Here is a 20,735-nt window from a genome sequence, read left to right as displayed (position 1 = left end):
CCTAGGGAGTGTCAGTTTGGTAGGTACCTTCTAGAGTATCTTTTCTCATGCACGGTTGTGAAGTGCGCATCCATGTTTATACAAACAGATCCATATTGTTTTGTGACCTGTTTTTCTCTTGTAATGAGACCTTTTCATTTCAGGATATAAAGGTCTCTCTCATTGCTTGGTCCCCAGAAAATCATTACTAGTGTACACATTCAAAGATGTATTTAGGGCTGGGTGTGGTGGCTTACACCAGCACTCTGGGAGGCCAAGGCGGGTGGATCACCTGAGGTCAGGAGTTCGAGACCAGCCTGGCCAAGGTGGTGAAACCCCATCTCTACCAAAAATACAAAAATTAGCCAGGTGTGGTGGCACGTGCCTATAGTCCCACCTACTTGGGAGGCTGAGGCAGGAGAATTGCTTGAACCCAGGAGGCGGAGATTGCAGTGAGCCAAGATTGCGCCATTGCACACCATCCTGGGCCACGGAGTGAGATTTTGTCTCAAAAGACAACAACAACAACAACAGAGATGTATTTGGCCCTTTCTCTACCGAGGAACATTTCAGTTGTTTCTGATTGTTCACATTTCCATCACTACTGCCACGACCCGAAGTGAAGGCGGCCCCTTGTACACTTGGAGCGTTTCTCTCGGCAGAGATTTGGAATTGCTCTTGCGAAGAGTTTGGGTGTTTTCCACTTTAGTAGGTACCGCCAGATCACACTCTGCAAATGCCAGGACAATTTCCATTCTTACCAATGGTGACGAAGGTATTCATTGCCCTTAGATTCTTCCCAACCGTGGCCATTGCCAATCTCTTTTATTTTTTATTTTATTTATTTATTTATTTATTTTTCAGATGGAGTCTTGCTCTGTCCTCCAGGCTGGAGTGCAGTGGCAGGATCTTGGCTCACTGCAAGCTCCGCCTCTCGGGTTGACACCATTCTCCTGCCTCAGCCTCCCGAGTTGCTGGGACTACAGGTGCCCACCATCACACCAGGCTAATTTTTTTGTATTTTCAGTAGAGACGGGATTTCACCGTGTGTTAGCCAAGATGGTCTCGATCTCCTGACCTCATGATCCGCCCGCCTCCGCCTCCCAAAGTGCTGGGATTACAGGAGTGAGCCACCGCGCCCGGCGCAAATCTCTTTTAAATTTTGCAAATCTGACAGGTGAAAACCATTAACTTGGCGTTATTTTTACTTGCATTTCTTTGATTACTAGTGAGGCTGGGCACGTTTTCATATGTTTATTGACTATCTGCAGTTCCTCTTAGGTGAATTGTCTATTCCATTCCCAGCACCCATTTTTTCTTTGGGGTTGTTTATCTTTTGCTTGTTATTGTAGGAATTCATTACAGATCCTGAATATTAATCTTTTTCTGTTGCATATGTTCTAGATACCTTCCAGTCTGTCACTTGTCTTTTAACAGTATTTACAGCGTCTTTTGTTATACACCAGTTTTGAATTTGGACATAATCAAATTTAGCAATCTTTTCCTTTATGGTTTCTGTGTTTTGTGTCTTGCTAAAGGAAGCCTTTCCTACCCCAAGGTTATAAACAAATTCTCCTATATTTTCTTTTAATAGTTTTATAGCTTTGTTTTTTTCACATTGAGCTCTCTAATCCATCTGGAATTTATTTCAGTGAATGGTGTGAAGCACGAATCTAACTTTATGGTTTTTTTCCACAAGGATAGCCAATTGTCTCTACAATACTTGCTGAAGAATCCCTCTTTTCCCGATTGCTTTTTTCTAGCTTTATTGAGGTCTAATTGACAAATAAAAATTGTATATATTCAAGGCCTACAACGTGATTATTTGATATACATTACATTGTGAAATGATTACCACAATCAAGCTAATTAACACGTTCATCACACAGTTACCTTTGTGTGTGTGTGTGTGTGTGTGTGTGTGTGTGTGGTGAAAACACTTAAGATCTATTTTCTGGGCCAGGCATGGTGGCTCACGCCTGTAATCCTAGAACTTTGGGAGGCTGAGGCGGGCGGATCACGTGAGGTCAGGAGTTCAAGACCAGCCTGGCCAACATGGTGAAACCCCATCTCAACTAAAAATACAAAAATTAGCCAAGCATGGTGGCACGCACCTATAGTCCCAGCTACTCAGGAGGCTAAGGCAGAAGACTCGCTTGAACTCGGAAGGCAGAGGCCACAGTGAGCCAAGATCGCACCACCGCACTCAAGCCTGGCTGACAGAGAAAAACTCCATCTCAAAAAATAAAAAATAAAAAACAAAAGAAAAACCGATTTTCCTAGCAAATTTCTAGTATACCATACAGTATAATTAACTATAGTCACCATGCTATACATTAGATCCCCATAATTTATTCATCTTATAACTGAAAGTTTGTTCTGCTGCTTTTAAATGCTACTTTATTACACACTGAATTCCTCTTAATGCAGAACCCCTTTTTCAGCTCTCTGTTCAGTGACATTGATCCATCTGTCTTGTCTCAGGCCAGCACACGATTTTAAAGAGTACAGCTTGGTAGTGTTTTGATATCTGATAGGGGAAGTCTCCCCTCATTGTACTCCTTTTTCAAATATTTTTTGTTTATTGCGACACAGTTACTCTTCCAGATTCGTTTTAGAATGGCCTTGTTAAATCTCTCCCCCGCCCTGCCCCAAAAACCCTGTTGTGATTTTGCCTGGCATTACTTTTTGAATTTAAAGAATTATTTGGACAGAGCTGACACCTGCACAGTATAAAGTGTTCTCACCCAATGGCTGCCTGTTTGCTTAGGGCTTATCATCTGTCTCAGGCCTGAGTCTGACTCAACCTCCCTGAGCCCCGGCTCAGTCATCTATGACACAGGAATACTATTTCCTGTCCCAGAGTTGGCGGAGGATTCAGTGAGAGCAAGCGTGAGAAGCACCTGATGGTGAGCTTCTAGAGGGCAAGCCTCTTCCTATTTAATTCTACAATCCAAGACAGGGAGTTCTTTGAACAGCCCCAAAGGGAACACAGTGTTTGTATTTAGGTAGACTCAGGGGCTATGGGGTGGAGGCAGGGGCCACTGGCATGGAAAAAGCAAACAACAAGCACATCAATTACTGTGTTTGCTACTTTACATATATTATCTCATCATATCATTTGTCCTCAGAACAAGTCTGTGAGGTAGGTACTGTCATCCTCATTTTATAGCTTAGAAAAACAAGACTCAGACAGTGGCCTGTCTGGACTCCGAGTCCAAGGCTCTAACAAGTTACCACCTGCACCCTCTGTCTTGCCTAGTTTGGGAGCTGATGGGAGCCTCTCCTTGTCATAAATGGTCCATAAGTGCTAGATGGTCAGCTGCTGCCTGTCCGAAGTCTAACAAGCCTAGAGTAGATTTAGCCCCCAAGATACCCACAGGAACATACAGCACTCAGCAGGATGTCCAGCCCATATGAGGAGCTTGTTGAATTGCGTGGAGACAAAGTTGAAATGCCATAATGTGAGTGCTCCAGATAGTGCAGGGATTGCTAGCTGCGATCAGAGGAAGAAAAGAGCTACATGGGCTAGGGAAACCGGGGAAGGCTTCCAGAGAATGTGGGACTGGAACTCGGCCCTGACAGAGAGAGAGGATTTAGACAAACAAGAAGAGAAGAGAGGATTCCAGAGTCAGAGTTAGTATAATGATTGCAGGTGAGCCCAATGGGCAGGATAGGCAGTAAGAGTAAGTAGAGAAAGGCATTTCCTGATGACCGAGGGCTGGCATGGGCTGGCAGTATCTCCAGGCTGGAGCAAGGCTGGGAGGCTGGAAAATCATGGACCTGATATCTTTTAGGCTCATTTAGCTCCCCACAGTGTCTTAAGGTTAAGCTTCACTTTCCACGTACAGCCCCCACAGCCAGTTGCCATGACACCAAAACATACAGACCAGCCTGGGAAGTCAGCAGGGAGGGGCAGGAAGGGGCTGCTTTCCTCGTGCCCTTTGTCTGCCCCACACTACATCCTGACCCTGTCTCTCCACCCTAACTTTGTCTCCCCATCCCATGCATGTGTGTGTATCTGTGTGGGCACTCAGGCATGAGCTGTGTGGCCTCGGGTGAGTCCCTCAGCCTCTCTGAACCTCAGGAGGCATAGGTTTTCTGGTATGTGCATATTCTCCTGGTCACAGGGCAGTCCACCTTGCTCCCACTGGAGACAGAAACAGCCTCACAGCATGGCCACTGTTAACACCCACACTCTGAGAGGAAAAGAGAAGAGAACCTAGTATGTGCCAGGTGCTTTACAGACAGGTTGCCAGGTTGAATTTGGAGGGTTAAAAATCAAAGCACATTAGTTCAGGTCCTGTAAGAAGCCAGATCCCAAGACAAGATTAGATATGCAAGAGATTTACTGGGGAAAATATCTGCGAGGGGAAAAGGGAAATGAGCCAGCAGAGGCGGGAACTTTCAGACCAGGCTGTGGGTCTGACCCTTGCCAGGAAGAGGGAGAAGGAAGGAGGGTTGGATGAGCAAAGTCTCAGACTCAGCACAGCTCTAGGAAAGTTCCGGTCAAACCAACTGGGAGTCCTTGAGCTAACGATGTCCTCAGAGCAGCCCTGCATCTCCCAAGATTGGTCCTGTCTTAGCGCCCCTGCTGTGCTCAGCCTTGGGTGGCAGGAAGCCCATGGGAAGCATGGCCTTAGGAGCCGTGGCCTTGGTCGATGACACTCCCAGCAGTAGGAGATCTGATGGGGCATTTTCATGGCTGCCATCCAAAGCAACGTGCACACCACCTGCTTGATACTGACATGATTTAAGCCCAAGGGAGGTCACATTTTGAGGTATAAAGATGGTGAGTTTGGGAAGACCAGGTTGTGGGGCTCCTCTGTTACTGACTGTGCGATCTTGATCAGGTTTTTTACTAACATGACTAAGTTTTTCTACAAAATGGAGCAACAATGCCTTTTTCATGGGTTGTTAAGAAGATAATCTGGGACCTGAAGCCTTCTCCCCCTACTCCAGTGGGGTAAAGCTGGATGGAATGGACTGATTGACAGCCTGACTCAGAGGCCCAGAGGAGGAAGCCCTTTTCTTTTTCCTAAGGGAGGGTTGAGAGGTCCGAAGACTGAGGAACAAGGAGAGAAGGCAGAAGCTCCCTGAGGCACACTCTAAGTGGACATGCTACGGCCACGCTAGAGGACAGCTCCAGATGGGTCTGCACCATCATCTGGACATCAAGTGCTTTATAATCTCATGAAGATTTACAGTTTCTACAATTATCCCAAAATAAAAAGTTTACTCACAAAATATATCAATTAAGAGTCCTTCAATTGCAAATGTCAGAAAATCCAACTAATTGTGTCTTAAGCAGTAAAGTCATTTAATTACCTCACATAATGGGAAGTTGGAAGGAGGGGTGTTTAGACCCTCACTGATGCCAGGGTTCGGGATCAATGTTTCTGCACTCTTCTTCGTCTCTGCCTCATGGTCACCAGGTGGCTGCTACAACTCCAAACATCATACCATCACACAATAGTGTCCCAAATAAGAGGAAAGAGGAAGGCATAAAATGGAGCATTTGCTTCTGGTTTCTTTTTTTTCAGGAAGAAAAAGCTTTCCCAGAAGATGTCCTCTTAACATCTCCTTGGCCGGAATTATACCACTCCTCAACTGATCACTGGCAAAGCTATCTCTAGGCACGTGGTTGCCTGAACAAGATCAGGGTCTGTTAGCAAAGAAGACTGCTGATTTCTCTGCTTCAGAGAGCAAGAAGACCCAGCAGTCTTCTTGGGTAGGCAGCAAGACTGTCTTGCTGCTGCTGCTGCTGCTTCTCCTTTTCCTCCTCCTCCTCCTCCTCCTCCTCCTTCTTCTTCTTCTTCTTCTTCCTCTTCCTCTTCCTCTCCTTCTCCTTCTCCTTCTCCTCCTCCTCCTTCTCCTCCTCCTCCTCCTTCTACTTCTCCTTCTCCCTCTTCTTCTTTCTTTTCTCAGGCAGAGTCTCGCTCTGTTGCCCAGGCTGGAGTGCAATGGCGTGATCTCAGCTCACCGCAACCTCCGCCTTCCATCTTGCTGCTGCTGCTGCTGCTGCTTCCTTTTCTTCCTCTTCTTCTTCTTCTTCTTCTTCTTCTTCTTCTTCTTCTTCTTCTTCTTCTTCTTCTTTTCTTCTTCTTCTTCTTCTTCTTCTTCTTCTTCTTCTTCTTCTTCCTCTTCTTCTTCTTCTTCTCCTTCTCCTCCTCCTCCTCCTCCTCCTCCCCCTTCTCCTTCTCCTTCTTCTTCTTTCTTTTTTCAGGCAGAGTCTCGCTCTGTTGCCCAGGCTGGAGTGCAATGGCGTGATCTCAGCTCACTGCAACCTCCGCCTCCCAGGTTCAAAAGATTCTCCTGCCTCAGCCTCCTGAGTAGCTGGGATTACAGGAGCCTGCCAGCACGCCCAGCTAATTTTTGTATTTTTAGTAGAGGAGATGGGGTTTTGCCATGTTGGCCAGGGTGGTCTCGAACTCCTGACCTCAGGTGATCCACCCACCTCGGCCTCCCAAAGTACTGGGATTACATGTGTGAGCCACCATGCCCCGCCTGTCTTGCTTCTTGTTGCACAAGACTGATGGTTCAGTTGCACAGTGGAGTACTTCTTGGGTAGGCTCTTGGGTAGGCAGCATGACTGTCTTCCACGGGAAGAATTTCTGGAAACAAAATGAATCTTTCTATCCCTCTGAGCATAGCTAAGTGAGCATAGCTAAGGGGTTACACAAGTCCATAAACACATACAGTGCAGTGGGCACAATGATAAATGACATGCAAGACACAGCACTCACACCGAGAAAGGAATCCATTCAGTTGATGCAGGGCAGGGGTTCTGGGTGTCGAGAATAGTGGACACAGTCCATTATAGTGCAGCTGACAGACTCTTTGTCCTGGGGGTGGGAACAGGTCAGAGAAAGCCTCACACAATCTACATGTGAGCGGAATGCTGCCGGATGAGTAGGAGTGCACCAGGCAAACTGTGTAGGAGTTAAGGGATTCCAGCTGCAGGACTCAACCCATGAAAAGCTACGTTTGTGCAGGTGAACAAATGGCTCAGTATTCCTAAAGGTGAAAGTTCAAGGGTAGGCAGTGTGTGAGATGAGTCCAGATCATTCAGGGGCCTGGAATTTGGATAACGGGGAGCCAATGAAAAGTTTTAATAGGAGACTAATTTAAATAAATACTCACTTTTAAGTGATTGTGATGACAATGTGAAGGAATCTCAAAAGCATTTTGCTGACCAAAACAATGCAAACTATATGATTCCATTTGTAAGAATTTCTATAGAAGAGGCAAAACTAATCTAGGGAAGAGATCAGAAGAGAGATTGCCCATGGGAAAGGGGATTGATTGAAAAGGATTCTAAGGAACATTCACAGAGATAATGGAAATTTTCTCTATCTTTATTGGGGTGGTGGCTACACGGATGCAATATATTTATTAAAATTCATCAGGCTGAGCGCGGTGGCTCACGCCTGTAATCCCAGCACTTTGGGAGGCTGAAGAGGGCAGATCACCTGAGGTCAGGAGTTCAAGACCAGCCTGGCCAACGTGGTGAAACCCCGTCTCTACTAAAAATACAAAAATTAGCTGGGGGTGGTGGCGGGTGTCTGCAATCCCAGCTACTCAGGAGGCTGAGGCAGGAGAATCACTTGAACCCAGGATGGGGAGGTTGCAGTGATCTAAGATTGTGCCACTGCACTCCAGCCTGGGTGACAGAGTGAGACACCATCTGAAAAACAAAAAACAAAAAATCATCAAACTGTACACTTAAAATATGCACATCTTATTGTATTCAAGTAATGCCTCAATTTTTAAAAAGGTATCCTGGTAGATGGATGGTAGGAGAATCTAAAGGTGTGGAACAATTGAGAAGGCTGCAGGTGTCACCCAGAAGGAGGACACCATGGCCTGGCTATAGCAGATGTTGGAGCAGAGTAGGACAGGGCTGGAGGAAGGTGCTGGTACCATCAGGAATAAGGCTGCTTAAGGGGCTGGATATGGAGGTAGGGGCGGGAGGGCAAAAGACTCAAGACAGCTTCTGGCTGCTGGCTTAGGTGACAGGCAGTCACTGAGACAGAGACCCCAAGAGGAAGAAGTTTGGGGGAAGAAAAAGTGAGCTCAGATGTGGCAACATTGAGTTTCTTTTTGTTTTTTCGAGATGGAGGCTTGCTCTGTTACCCAGGCTGGAGTGCAGTGGTACAATCTCGGCTTACTGAAACTTCTGCCTCCTGGGTTCAAGCGATTCTCCTGCCTCAGCCTCCTGAGTAGCTGGGATTACAGGCGTCCTCTACCATGCTCGGCTAATTTTTGTATTTTTAGTAGAAATGGGGTTTCACCATGTTGGCCAGGCTGGTCTCGAACTGCTGACCTCAGGTGATCCTCCTGCCTCCTGGGATTACAGGCGTGAGCCACCGCGCCCAGCCACATCATTGAGTTTCTGATGGAGATGTTCTTTAGGCCCTTGACTATGTGGATGCAGATTTCAGGAGAGATGGGCCAGGGAGAGTTTGGCCCTCAAATCTATGGAACTAGATGGGTCATCCAAAGGAAACAAACTGAATATGACAAGGTGGGAAGAAGCAGAGAGGAAGCCGGGAACAGAGGCCTGGAGGGTACTGACATGAGTGCTGGTCAGGAGAAAAGTTTCCAGTTCCAGAAACTAAGAAGGAAAGGCGAAATATGGGAGAAGTGCTGGGCTGGAGGACATCGTCTGAGGCCCAAGGAAGAAGAGGTAAATAATGGGGAGTGGTCAGTTGTGTTCAATGCGCAAAAATGCCAAACAGGATGGGCTCAGCAAGATGTGTGGATAGATCTGAGACCCGCACACACGGACGAAAGAGCCTGCATTCAAACTCACATCTTGACCAGCGCACTTTCTATACATTCAAAACACTGGCTCCAAAGGAACATGGAAGATGCAGAAGAGGAATCTACAAAGGCCCTTCCTCATTTTTGTTCATTCAGTCGGTGCCCTTCATCAAGCTTCCAGGTTTAAATAAGTGATGGTTCAGCTGCACAGTGGAGTACTACGAAGCTGTTTGGAATCATGGGCCAGATATATACATACTTCTAAAAGATGCCCGTGACAGCTGCCTATTTTGTAAAAGGAAATGATACATCTGGGAGGATATACATCGAAATGTTGACAAGGTTAACTCTGAATGATGGGATTACGCATTTTTTTTTTTTTTGGAGATGAAGTTTCACTCTTGTTGCCCAGGCTGGAGTGCGGTGGCACAATCTCAGCTCACTGCAACCTCCGCTTCCCGGGTTCAAGCGATTCTCCTGCCTTAGCCTCCCGAGTAGCTGGGATTACAGGCATGCGACACCATGCCTGGCTAATTTTGTACTTTTAGTAGAGACGGGGTTTCTCCGTGTTGGTCAGGCTGGTCTCCAACTCCCAACCTCAGGTGATCTGCCCACCTTGGCCTCCCAAAGTGCTGGGATTACAGGCGTGAGCCACTGTGCCCGGCATATGCATACTTTTTGAAGCTATTTTAACATTTTTACTACTCTGTATTTTCTAGTTTTTCTAGACGTAAAAAATTGAATCTATAATGTAGAGGATGCTTAGCTGGATGCTGGGGGGAAGAAAACAGGGCGGAGTGCAGGGAAGATTCAGAGCGTCCCTATTGTCGTAGCCATGGGGGAAGGGAAGGGACTAGGTTTGGAGCCTCCAGTCAGCACTGGCCAGGCTGGATGGAGAAAGCCTTCACTCAACAGGCAAGTTTGGAGCTGACAGCAGGTGGCTCTGGGAGCACTGGGCGCCCCTGGGGAGGCACTGAAAGGGCCCTTCCCAGAGCCATCTTGACGTGATCCATCCAGACCAGTGGAGGGTTGGAAAGACAACAGGCTTTCATGGGGTTTGGAGACTCCGTTTGCCTGACGTGGCCAGTCCCAGATGGCCCTCTCTGCATTTGCACATCCTGTTCTGCCTGGAATGCTCCTCTACATCCCCCTTCCTGGCAAACACATTCCTAAATGTAAAGACCCTGCTGGAATATGGCTTTTGTGGAGCAGCCTCCTGCAGTAGACTGGCAGAGCGCATCGCTCCCACACCACTGTCTACAGGCCTTGCACTCACCACCTTCTACGTCATTAACCTGATTTCTGTGTATATTACTAGCTGGTGCACTGCACCAGGCCATTATTGACCTAATATTCAAGAAGGCTCATGTGCCCCGTGAGCCCACAGCGGGCAGGACCCCAGACTAACACAGAGGTTCTGGAGGGAATGAGGGAATGAGGGAGTCTGAGAACGAGGAAATGGGTCTGTGAATGGAAGGAGCCCCTTATGGTAACCAAACACTCCTGGTAAGTGACCCCATCCACACTCTGGGTATCAGAGGCCAAATGCAGCTGCTGGTCCCCTCCCCATTCTGGTTGCCCGGTTTGTGAGGCCTTGGGGAGCAGGTCCTGACTCGGTTTGCTACTCACAAACTGAAGACATTGGGGAGCTGGGCGCAGTGCCTCACACCTGTAATCCCAGCACTTTGGGAGGCCGAGGCGGGCAGATCACGAGGTCAGGAGATCGAGACCATCCTGGCTAACATGGTGAAACCCTGTCTCTACTAAAAATACAAAAAAAAATTAGCTGGGTATGGTGGCGGGCGCCTGTAGTCCCAGCTACTTGGGAGGCTGAGGCAGGAAAATGGCATGAACCTGGGAGGCGGAGCTTGCAGTGAGCCGAGATTGCGCCACTGCACTCCAGCCTGGGTGACAGAACAAGACTCTGTCTCAAAAAAAAAAGACTGGGGAATGGAAGGGAGCACTGAGAAAAGCTAGCACCATCTGAGAGAAAGGAAGAAAAGCAGAAACTCAAACAAGATCCAGATATTGGCCCTTCCTGAAAGCGTTCTGCACCAGGCTTTGAGACTCAAGATGAAAAACACAAAGACAAAGTTTAAGAACCATGGGCACTCTCTAAGGAGAACTGGACATTTCCACATAAGGCAACAAAATTAGGAAAAGAGAATGAAACTATCCCGATGCATAAAGCAGCTAAAAGGAACCCAGCGATTCCATGTTAGTTATGCAGAAAGCTTCCCGGAGAACTAAAATGATAACGGACAAGCCAAAGAAAGTGGAAATTAGGGCAGGTTCCGAAGGAGGGGTACACACAAAGAAATACAAAAAAAAAAAAAAAAAAAAAAAAGGCTGTGGAGATAAAATCAGAAAACTTGTTCAGAAAAGAAATGGGATATAACTTGCACAAGGCGGCAAAAGAATGAGAAAAACATTTGCTAACTATAATGGGCCAAAGAAAGGGGATAAGGGGATTGCTGGCACGTTTTTCGCTGGGGAGAGAAAGCCTATAAGCAACGACACTGAAAAAGCAGAGCCTTTTAATTTTTTCTTAGCCTAAAAAGGTCAGCTGTGATCTGAAAACTGAAAGAGGCACCATGTGGAATCACGAGCAGGCAGGAAGCCAGGGGGATAAGGAAAGAACTTGTGTATTCCCATCCACAGGCCCTGATGACTTACATGCTTAGGTACTTAAGAAATTGGCCCACATTGGAATCCAATCACTAGCTCTCACTCTGAGGGGATTTATGGAGAACTGGTGAGGGGCCTGGAGACAAGAGACCCAGGCAGCCGGTCCCTGCCTCTTTCCAAACCTGGGGGAAAGCAGATGCCTCTGCAAGTGCTGGGCCTATCCACCAAACTGCTATAATAGAAAACTACTGGGACACGTCGTCAAAAAATCAATCTGCAAACACTAGGTCATAAGGAATTAGGTAATAACCAGCACTGCTTTCCAAAGAATACATTCTGTCAGAGTAATCCAATTTCCTTCTAGGACAGAATGTTGGGCCTGGTAAATCAAGAACGGCAAGAGACACATAATCTTCCTCAACTTCAAGAGCAAGGCATTTCATTTCATCTTCCAAGAGAAGTCTCAAAAGAGAAACTGGAGAAATGGGGTCTATAGTTGGCCTTTCTGGGGTTGGGCAAATGAAAAGAGGTTGAAGGGTTAGCCCAAATGGCAGTTCTTTATGTTATAGGTAGCATGGATGGATTCGAATGGACAGAGGTTGGGGTGGGTGGGGTACTGTGCTGGCGGTGGTTAGACGTGTCAGGGGAGGTAAGAGGGGCAGTGGTGGTAGAAATGGTGGTGATAATTGTCATGAAGGTAGTGATACTGGTGGAGGTGGTGATGATGGCAGAGAGGGCAGTTGTTGGATGAAGATGCCGGTAGTGATACTGGCGGAGGTAGTTGGTGATGGTAGTAAAGATGGAAGCAGTGGTTATGGTGGAGGCGGCAGGGGCGGTGCATAGTGATGACGGTGGAGCTGGAGGTGATGGTTGAGGTGGAGATGATGGTGATAGAGATGCTGATGGTGGCGGGTGTGGAGGTGGTGATAATAGTGGAGACAGAGAGGGTGGTTGAGATGAAGATAGCGATGGTAGAGATGGAAACAGTGATGGTGGTAGAAACGGAAATGTGACAATGGTGGTGGTCGGTGGTGGTCATGGCAGCAGCAAGCAAACCCAGGCTAGCGATGGTAAATCTGGGCTTCACAGCCCTCCTGCCTGGCATCTGTGATGGCCGCTCACACTAGCCTGTTCTTTCCATGTCTTAGCTGAGAGAAGCGGGTACAAGATTTTGGGCCCAGCCTCGTTCTGGTGGTCACTATCCAGTTAGTCCTGGGGCAGTGAGCCCCTCTCTGCCCACACAGGATGACTAGATATGGGCCCTGAGAGGCCTGTGTGAGGGGAGACTTTTCTCTAGACCCAAAGGGGTGGGCCCAACCTGAGAGTCCCCCACAGCCAAGAAGAGAAGGCTCCTGGGGCTTGGTGGAGGCAGGCTGTCTGCCTAAGCCTGGAAGCTTCCTCCCCTGTTAACTGAAGGCTATCAGAGCCCCGCCCCAACCCCCAAGAACTAGGGGGCTGGGAAGGGTGAGCTAAAGACCTCCCTCCAACTTGGCTTCCGTCAGGATGTGGCTGTTTCCTTGAGTGAAAATCAGATGAAAACGCCCCCCAGGTCTGTGGGCCTCAGTAGCCTTGGGGGCAGGAGAGACGGTGGGTTGCAGAGCCTGTGTTAGGCTTCATGGAGTGGGTGGTGGAAGAGGGGGTTGCCAACATGGGCTGGACCCCCCGAAACATTCCTGAGGCTGGGAGCTCAGCTCCAGATGGAAAAACATCTTGCCTACCTCCTTGTTCTCAGCAGGGCCCCCAGCTGGCTGTGTGATCTTGACGAGGCCCTTGAGCCAATTCAGCCTCCTGACATTCCCCTAAATCCTAAAGAGTTGGCTGAGATGATCTCTCAGGTCCTTTGGCTACAGGTCCAGTTCCCTAAATACACATCACACCCTGACTCTCCCCACAAGCCTGTCGCAGCCGGTCCGCTTCACCCACCCTCTCTGCCTGGAGGGCTGGCCTCCTTGCCTGCTGTGGCCCCATCTCAAGGCCTAGCTCAAAGCCAGTTCTGCTGCAAAGCCCCACTGCACCCAGCAGGCAGAAGTGACCTCTTCCTCTGCTGGACCCCCATAGCCTTTATCTCCCCTCTGCCTTGAATTGTCAGACAGAAGGGTGCCACGTTTGGCACCTTCACCAGCTTGGCCTTGTTCATCTCCTACCCCTAGCAGCAGCCAGCACAGGCCTGACAGAGAGGACGCTGCAAAGTGGAAAAGAGTGAGTGAATTTTCAAGTGGAGAAACTGAGGCACCAGTGGTCAAGTGACCAAGGCTAGAACCCAGATCTCTGGGTCCCCAGCACCTTGGCAACCATGGCACTGGGGCTGAAAAGGCTCACACCCATCTAGTTCTTGCGAAGTGTCTCCCAAACCCGTGTAATGAGCAAACCTCTTGAAAGGAAAAGCAATTCTCACAGATCCCATCTGTGAATTCCCAGAAGTTCACAGACCCATACTGGAGCAACGCCAACGTAAGGAACTGAAGTTCTAGTCTATGAAAATGTTTAACTGCAAAGAGTTCTGTCTTTATAACTGCTAAAATATTTTAACATCATTGAAATTTACATCCAAAATTTAAAACTCTTCAGAGCACTTAGGAACTCTGAAAGTAGATACCCTAGTTTGAGAAACACTGTCCTGGCTGAGAAACTAATTCACAGGAAGGTGTGAATGACTGATACATCCTTTTCACCATGTTGCTAGGTCCAAGGGCAATTTGCACTTTTACATATACCCTTAGAAAGAGCAATGCGTCCAGTATGGGCAACATGGCGAGACCTTTCTACAAAAAATTTACAAATTAGCCAGGTATGGTAGTGCATGCCTGTAATCCCAGCTACTCCAGAGGCTGAGGTAGGAGGATTGCTTAAGCCCAGGAGTTCAAGGCTACAATGAGCTATGATAGCACCACTGCATTCCACCCTCAGTGACAGGGTGAGACCCTGTCTCAAAAATTAAAAAAAGAAAGACAGCCAGGTGCGGTGGCTCACACCGGTAATCCCAGCACTTTGGGAGGCTGAGGCAGGTGGATCACGAGGGCAGGAGATTGAGATCATCCTGGCCAACATAGTGAAACCCCATCTCTACTAAAAATACAAAAAAATTAGCCAGGCGTGGTGGCATGTGCCTGTAGTCCCAGCTACTCAGGAGGCTGAGGCAGGAGGATCGCTTGAACCCGGGAGGCAGAGGTTGCAATGAGCCGAGATTGTGCCACTGCACTCCAGCCGGGGTGACAAAGTGAGACTCCATCTCAAAAAAAAAAAAAAGAGGGAGAGAGAGAAAAAAAGAAAGAAAGAAAGATAGAAGGAAAGAAAGAGACGATGCTTAATTTAACAGGTAACGCATATAAGGTGAAATGGCAGTCCTTCTTGGGTCAGCCTGTAGGGTGACTTGGGGGTCTTCAAAAACAGCTCTTTCCAGGATACCAACTCATGCTTTTCTTAAGCTGGAGGTGGATATGGAGCGGATGGGGGTGGAGAGAGGTTCTAGGTTCCAGTAACAAAAGGGATGGCTTCCCCAGACTTCCCTCCCAAACTGCCACTCTGCTTCCCAGTCAGCCCTGCTGATAGAGGGGAGATGGTCTCTCCACAGCACTGCATACAGCCCACTGTTCCCCCTTGCCCCCACTTTCCCCCACCACACAGTGCACAGATGCTCCCTCCAGGCTGCCCTGACACACACTCATCTCTACAGGAAAGAGGTATTTTTGGGGGGATGACTGTTCTGTGATTGTGTGATTTCCTTTCTCATGTTGCAAAAGATCCTGTAGTGATATGCAAGGGGCAGGGGCTTTTGATTCATAGAGATCTGAGTGCAAAGTCTGGCTCAACTTCTTTTTATGTGGGTGATCTTAGCCAAGGTGCTCAGCCTGTCTGAACCTCACTTTTCTCACCTATAAATTTAGGGTAGCACCTTCTATTTCAAGCCTTGTAAGCATTAGAAACAAAGAATTGAATGTTCTTGGTCCACTCTTAATTAATGGCAGTGGTAATTCTACTGGCTAAGGAAGGCTGTGAAAAGCCACATGTGAGGTGGTTAGAAGTGTGGATTCTCAAGACCCTGGCCTGGGTCTGAATCCCCGCTTGGCCACTTTCTAGCTGTGTGACCTTGGGTAGCAACTTAAGCCTATGCCTCCATGTCCTCATCTATGAAATGGGGATCATAATTACAGTTATCTCACATAATTGTTAAAAGGATAAAGTCACTCAAAATATTGAAACACTTAAAGCAGTATCTAGGCCGGATGCAATGGCTCACTCCTGCAATCCCAGCATTTTGGGAGGCCGAGGCAGGCAAATTGCCTGAGCTCAGGAGTTTGCCACCAGCCTGGGCAACACGGTGAAACCCCGTCTTTACTAAAATACAAAAAATTAGCTGGGGGTGGTGGCGTGCGCCTGTAGTCCCAGCTACTCAGGAGGCTGAGGCAAGACAATTGCTTGAACCCAGGAGGCAGAGGTTGCAGTGTGGGGAGATTGCGCCACTGCACTCCAGCCTGGGTGACAGAGCGAGACTCTGTCTGAAAAAAACAAAACAAAACAAAAAACAAAAAACAAAAAAAAGCAGTGTCTAATAGTCTAATACAGTAAAGGCTCAAAAATATGAGTCATGTTATTATCATCAATAGGCTGGGGTGGATATGCCTATGGGACGGGGGAAGTGCGGCCACAACTGCCCAGTCCCACCTTTGCTAAGCTTAGTTTGGCATCCCGTTCCCTCCCATCTGCCACCTCCTCAAACTACTGACCTTCCTGTTTTCATTTAGTACCCAGGGCCAGCCTGCCCCACCATGGTGACCCTCTTCTTCCCTGGTTCTTTCAGAAAGCTGAACCCATTCCTCTGCCCTCCCTGAAAACTGCCATCTTCTGTCCCATGCAGCCTGTTAGCTTGTCCCTGCAGCCCATGGGGAGTGGGCATCACTCAGTGTCTGGCTGACTGCCATGAGACTCTAGGTAGCCAGCCGTCACCCCGAGCTACTGGGGTCGTGCGATCCTCCTTGGAGTATAAGAATGTGCACCGAGAAAGGAATTCGGGTGCCTCCGTTATCTACAGAGTAAGTTCCTCCTCAGAGCTGCCCTAAATCGCTGCTACTTGTCTTGGGCTCTTCTTCGCTTCTTCACAATGCTTTCTTCAGCTAGTGGACCTTTGGCAGAGCTGTAGAGACTCAGGGTAATACAAATGAAAACAAAAGTGAAAAACTCTTTTTCATTCAGTAGATTGCCCCCCACCCCAAACTTATCTATATGGAGAGAGAAAGAGACAGAGAGAATACCCAGTAGTAGCGAGGGTGTCAGTGGGTGGGCACACTCATAGTTTAATGGAGGCAGTGGAAACTGATAGAGCATCTTTGGAGAGAAGTCTAGTACTATCTATAAGAATTTAAAACAAGCATACCATTAACCCATTGATGTCATTTTTAAGAATCTATCCTCTAGAAGCACTTGTGTCATTACAAAGATATTCTCACAAGGATGTTCAGTGGGCATTACCTGTAATTCCAAGACTGGAGACAACACAAATGTTCAGTGGTAGAGGAATAGATAAATAAGAAATGAAATATTTATGCAAAGGAGTAGTACACAACTTAAAAACAATAGGCCTATATATATAAGCGTGGAAATATTAAGAGAAAAATAGCATGTTGCAGAATAAAATATATGGTTTGATCTCATTTGGCTTGGTGGTGGCACAGCCTACCATTTCCCCCTCTCCTCTCAGCTGGGTTGGGGGCTTCCTGCTAAGTTCAAGCTGGCTCAGGGCAGCCTGTACTCAGTTGAGAATGCCCAGCCCCTTCCTTCCAGCCAAACGGGTCAGTGCTCCCAGGATGGCCACACCCAGGGAGGGAAGGACTGCCAAGGCCCCAGGGTCAGGACTCTTGCCCAGAGGACCCCACAGGAAGCAGCCTCATTTTGGGAGCAGACAGACCTGGGTTCAAACCATTCTTTCATCTCATTATCACTAGCTGAATGATCTTGGGCAAGGTTCTTTACTGCTCCGACCCTCAGTTTCTCTATCTGTAAAATGGAAATAACACAGACCACACTGGGTGGTGAGAATTCAGTGAGACCATGAATCCCAAGTCAATCTCAGTAAGCGCCTTCCCTTTCCCATGAGCTCAAAGGTTTCTATTACTTTGCTTTCAAATTCCTGTAACCCACCCTCAGTGGCAGCCCTGCTCATCAGCCCTTTCTGTCCAACCTACCCTACTCCTGCTTGAGTCTCCATGGTGGATTCTTCCAGATGCACTCTTTTTTTTTTTTTTTGAGATGTAGTCTCACTCTGTCGCCCAGGCTGGAGTGCAGTGGCATGATCTCGGCTCACTGTAACCTCCGCCTCCTGGGTTCAAGCAATTCTCCTGCCTCAGCCTCCCAAGTAGCTCGCACTATAGGTGTGCGCCACCATGCCTGGCTAATTTTTGTATTTTTAATAGAGATGGGGTTTCTCCACGTTGGCCAGGCTGGTCTCTAACTCCTGACTTCAGGTGATCTGCCCGCCTCGGCCTCCCAAAGTGCTGGGATTACAGGCATGAGCTACTGTGCCCAGCCCAAATCTGCTCTTGGTTCTTTAGTCTGTGAAGAACACCGAGGCCTCCTCCAATACTGAGCTGAGTTGAGTAAGGCCAATGGAGGGTGTTCCCTCCCTTCAAAATACCCTGAATTTCACCCTTCTTTCTTCGTCTCCTCTTCCACCACTTCCTCCTCTCCCCTTCCTCCTCCCCACTTCCAACCTGTCTCCTACTTCTTCCAACCTGCACCCTGCCTGGCTCCCACCCACTAGGCCTTCTTCAGGACTTGACTCAATCAGTCATCTCCCTTTTCTCTCCTTGGCATCTTCAACCCACCCTCCCCTCCACCCCAACTCTATGATTAAGCTCAAGTCGGTCCCACCATAGAATACCCACTCCTCTACACTACTCCCCATCCACCTCCCATTTTCTTTTACAGCGGAGCACCTCCTGACACTCCGTCCAACAATCGGAGGACCTCTGTTCGACCTCCCTCTACTGCCCACTCTCCACCTCTGGGCAACAGTGAAGACAGTCGCAGGCCCTTGACAGTGTGCACCCGGCTCTCCTAGGACTCTGTCCCGCGACGCACACCTCCCACAATTCTGTCCCCTTTCCATCCTCCAAGAGCCACCCGAGGGCTGGCTTTCCATCTTTTTGCTGACAGAGTGACTGAGCTTGGGAAGAAACTTGACCGTGTTCTCTCTTTTTCAGAGGAGGAAACTGAAGCTCCTACACGTCCCTAAGTAACTTCCCCAAGGCCACACAGCGGGTGAGCAGGAGAGCAAGAGTTGTCTTTTATCCAGGAATCAAGTGCTTCCGGAAGTTTCCCGCTCTCCGGAACTTCTTCCCTTCCACTCCACACTTTCTCAGCCTCCAGAAAAGCCCAGCCAGGTGCATATTAGCATAAAAACGTCCCGTCCCTAATTAGTAGCTATTTCCTCTTGGGTGGGTCAGAGCCCTCGGCCTGGGTCTCTGCCTTTAGCCCAGCCTCCCCACACTCTCCGCCCAGGGCCCGGGAGTCTCCGAGCACCTTCCCCAAGAGGGGGCGGGAGGCGCCCCCCAGGCCAGACCCCCCACCCACCCTCGCCCGGCCCCGCCGGGACGCGCCCCTCCGGCCCCAATCCCCGCTGCCTAGAGCACGCAGCGCGCGCCTCCGGAGCGTGGGAGGGTTTGATTGACCTTGGCAAGGGGCGGCAGCGCTCTCAAAGGCCTCGGCCCCTCGCGGTCGCCCCGGCGCGGGGGCTCCGGTTTCTGCAGCCACCATCTCGGTTTCTCGCCCAGCCAGGGCTCGGGGGAGGGGTGCTGGGATCGGCCCTGTCCGACCCCCGGCAGCAGCGCTGGGCTGCGGGAGACGAGATCTGATGAAAATGTCTCGGGGCTGTCCACCCTGTACCGTCAGCAAGCCCGGAGCACTGGGAGCCAGGGCTGGGAGGCGACGCGGGGCGGGGGCGCTGCAGCAGCAGCGAGGCCTCGGCACCGTCCTCCGCTCCCCGCGGCCCCCCTTCCGCCTGCACCGAGGGTCAGGCCGGCTCGGAGTGGGAGGGTGGAGCCCACCGACCTCTGCCTCTCAGAAAGAGTGGCCGCTGTGCCCTCCGTGGCCCAGGTCCGACTACTGAACGTTTCCAAGCCACCTACCTTGCTTCTACCCCTTACCCGCTGGGAGAAACCCCCACTTCCCCAAAGCTCTAGAGGCGAGACCCTGGGTTCCTAGTCCGCTTTGTGGTCCTTGGACAATTGCTTCCCCGTTTCCCCAAGTGTAAAACAGGACGTCAGGACCCTTTTCGTTTGGTTGTTGTGAGGATTCACAAAGCACCCGCCGCAGTGAGCCCAGGGTCCCACCCAGCATCAACCAAAGGTTTCAGGAGCTCTAGGATCGCCTTCCCCCTCAACCCATTGTTTGCAAATGTTGCCTATGTTTGCGTTTTTCTGCGAAAAGCCTTCACCCTTAGATAAGAGGGGTCAGCAATGGTGCGAGAGCTTCAAGTGTATTTGGAGGAGAAGGAGGTAGAATTTTGGAACACAGCTGTATCCTGGAAAAATCAGAGTCCAAGATTTTCCCCAGGAAAACAAAAAGTAAATGCCTTAATGAAAGAACACAATGTTTCAATATTGTTTAATAACGATTATTATGCCCATTTTATAGATGACAGAACTGAGGCTCAAATGACTCCCTGGAGATGGCAGAACTGTTTAAACCATGGAGTTAGTAGTTGAATCCAGCTCCTTTCATTCCAAACTGTGTGCTCTTTGCTGCTCTGCGCTGCCCTTGGACATGACTATTTTGTGCTATTTATAGTTTCTGAGCTTATCACTTTTTTCTTAATATTGGTGAATTTTTTTAAGGGACTCCAGCCTGTTCTAACTGCGCTCAGGGAGGATAAAGAGGAAAGTGTGTCTCTGCACTTGTGCCGGGCTTCAAAATACCAGGCACGGGGTGTTGGGGGAGTTGGGGATGGGTGGAGTGGCAGGGAAGGAGCCTCCAGGGAAGGCGAGGTTCCACCAGCTGGAGTGGAGGGTTCTAGGGAAGCCCCTGGGGATCTCCTCTGGCTCTAGCCATGGAGAGCCTTAAACACAGCTCTCCCACACCTCCCACACCCAGGATCCGGAGTCAGCCCTGCAGTGCCCAGCCACAGGCCTGCCCAACTCAGCGGGAAAGGATGCTTGGTCCGGAGGTGGCCCAGCAATAGGTCTGCTCCCCTGGGGGTATTTGCCTGGCAGCCAGGGTAGGACACACCTCTGGGAGGACAGACAGGCATTCAGAGGTTGAGACAGGGAGAGACAAAGGTGGGGAGGAAGCACTAGAATGAGAGGGATAGACAGGAACACAGAGAGGGAACAAGGGAGCTATTCAGAGAGTCAGAAAGAGAGGGGAGGCCG

At 49.1% G+C, this 20,735-nt stretch overlaps 4 annotated features.

The window, feature by feature from the left end:
* Positions 9,290–9,790: an enhancer, noted in NCBI's record as "H3K4me1 hESC enhancer chr3:184331471-184331971 (GRCh37/hg19 assembly coordinates)". NCBI's record gives its function as "activates a minimal SCP1, AML or CMV promoter by ChIP-STARR-seq in primed H9 embryonic stem cells {active_cell/tissue: H9 hESC(primed)}" and the evidence as "EXISTENCE:reporter gene assay evidence [ECO:0000049][PMID:30033119]".
* Positions 9,791–10,291: an enhancer, noted in NCBI's record as "H3K4me1 hESC enhancer chr3:184330970-184331470 (GRCh37/hg19 assembly coordinates)". NCBI's record gives its function as "activates a minimal SCP1, AML or CMV promoter by ChIP-STARR-seq in primed H9 embryonic stem cells {active_cell/tissue: H9 hESC(primed)}" and the evidence as "EXISTENCE:reporter gene assay evidence [ECO:0000049][PMID:30033119]".
* Positions 13,181–13,682: an enhancer, noted in NCBI's record as "H3K4me1 hESC enhancer chr3:184327579-184328080 (GRCh37/hg19 assembly coordinates)". NCBI's record gives its function as "activates a minimal SCP1, AML or CMV promoter by ChIP-STARR-seq in naive and primed H9 embryonic stem cells {active_cell/tissue: H9 hESC(naive and primed)}" and the evidence as "EXISTENCE:reporter gene assay evidence [ECO:0000049][PMID:30033119]".
* Positions 19,127–19,859: an enhancer, noted in NCBI's record as "H3K4me1 hESC enhancer chr3:184321402-184322134 (GRCh37/hg19 assembly coordinates)". NCBI's record gives its function as "activates a minimal SCP1, AML or CMV promoter by ChIP-STARR-seq in naive H9 embryonic stem cells {active_cell/tissue: H9 hESC(naive)}" and the evidence as "EXISTENCE:reporter gene assay evidence [ECO:0000049][PMID:30033119]".

This window comes from Homo sapiens, chromosome 3, assembly GCF_000001405.40.
Source record: "Homo sapiens chromosome 3, GRCh38.p14 Primary Assembly".
NCBI lineage: Eukaryota > Metazoa > Chordata > Mammalia > Primates > Hominidae > Homo > Homo sapiens.
Note: the sequence above shows the minus strand (reverse complement) of the source record. Positions and strands in the feature narration are given on the sequence as shown.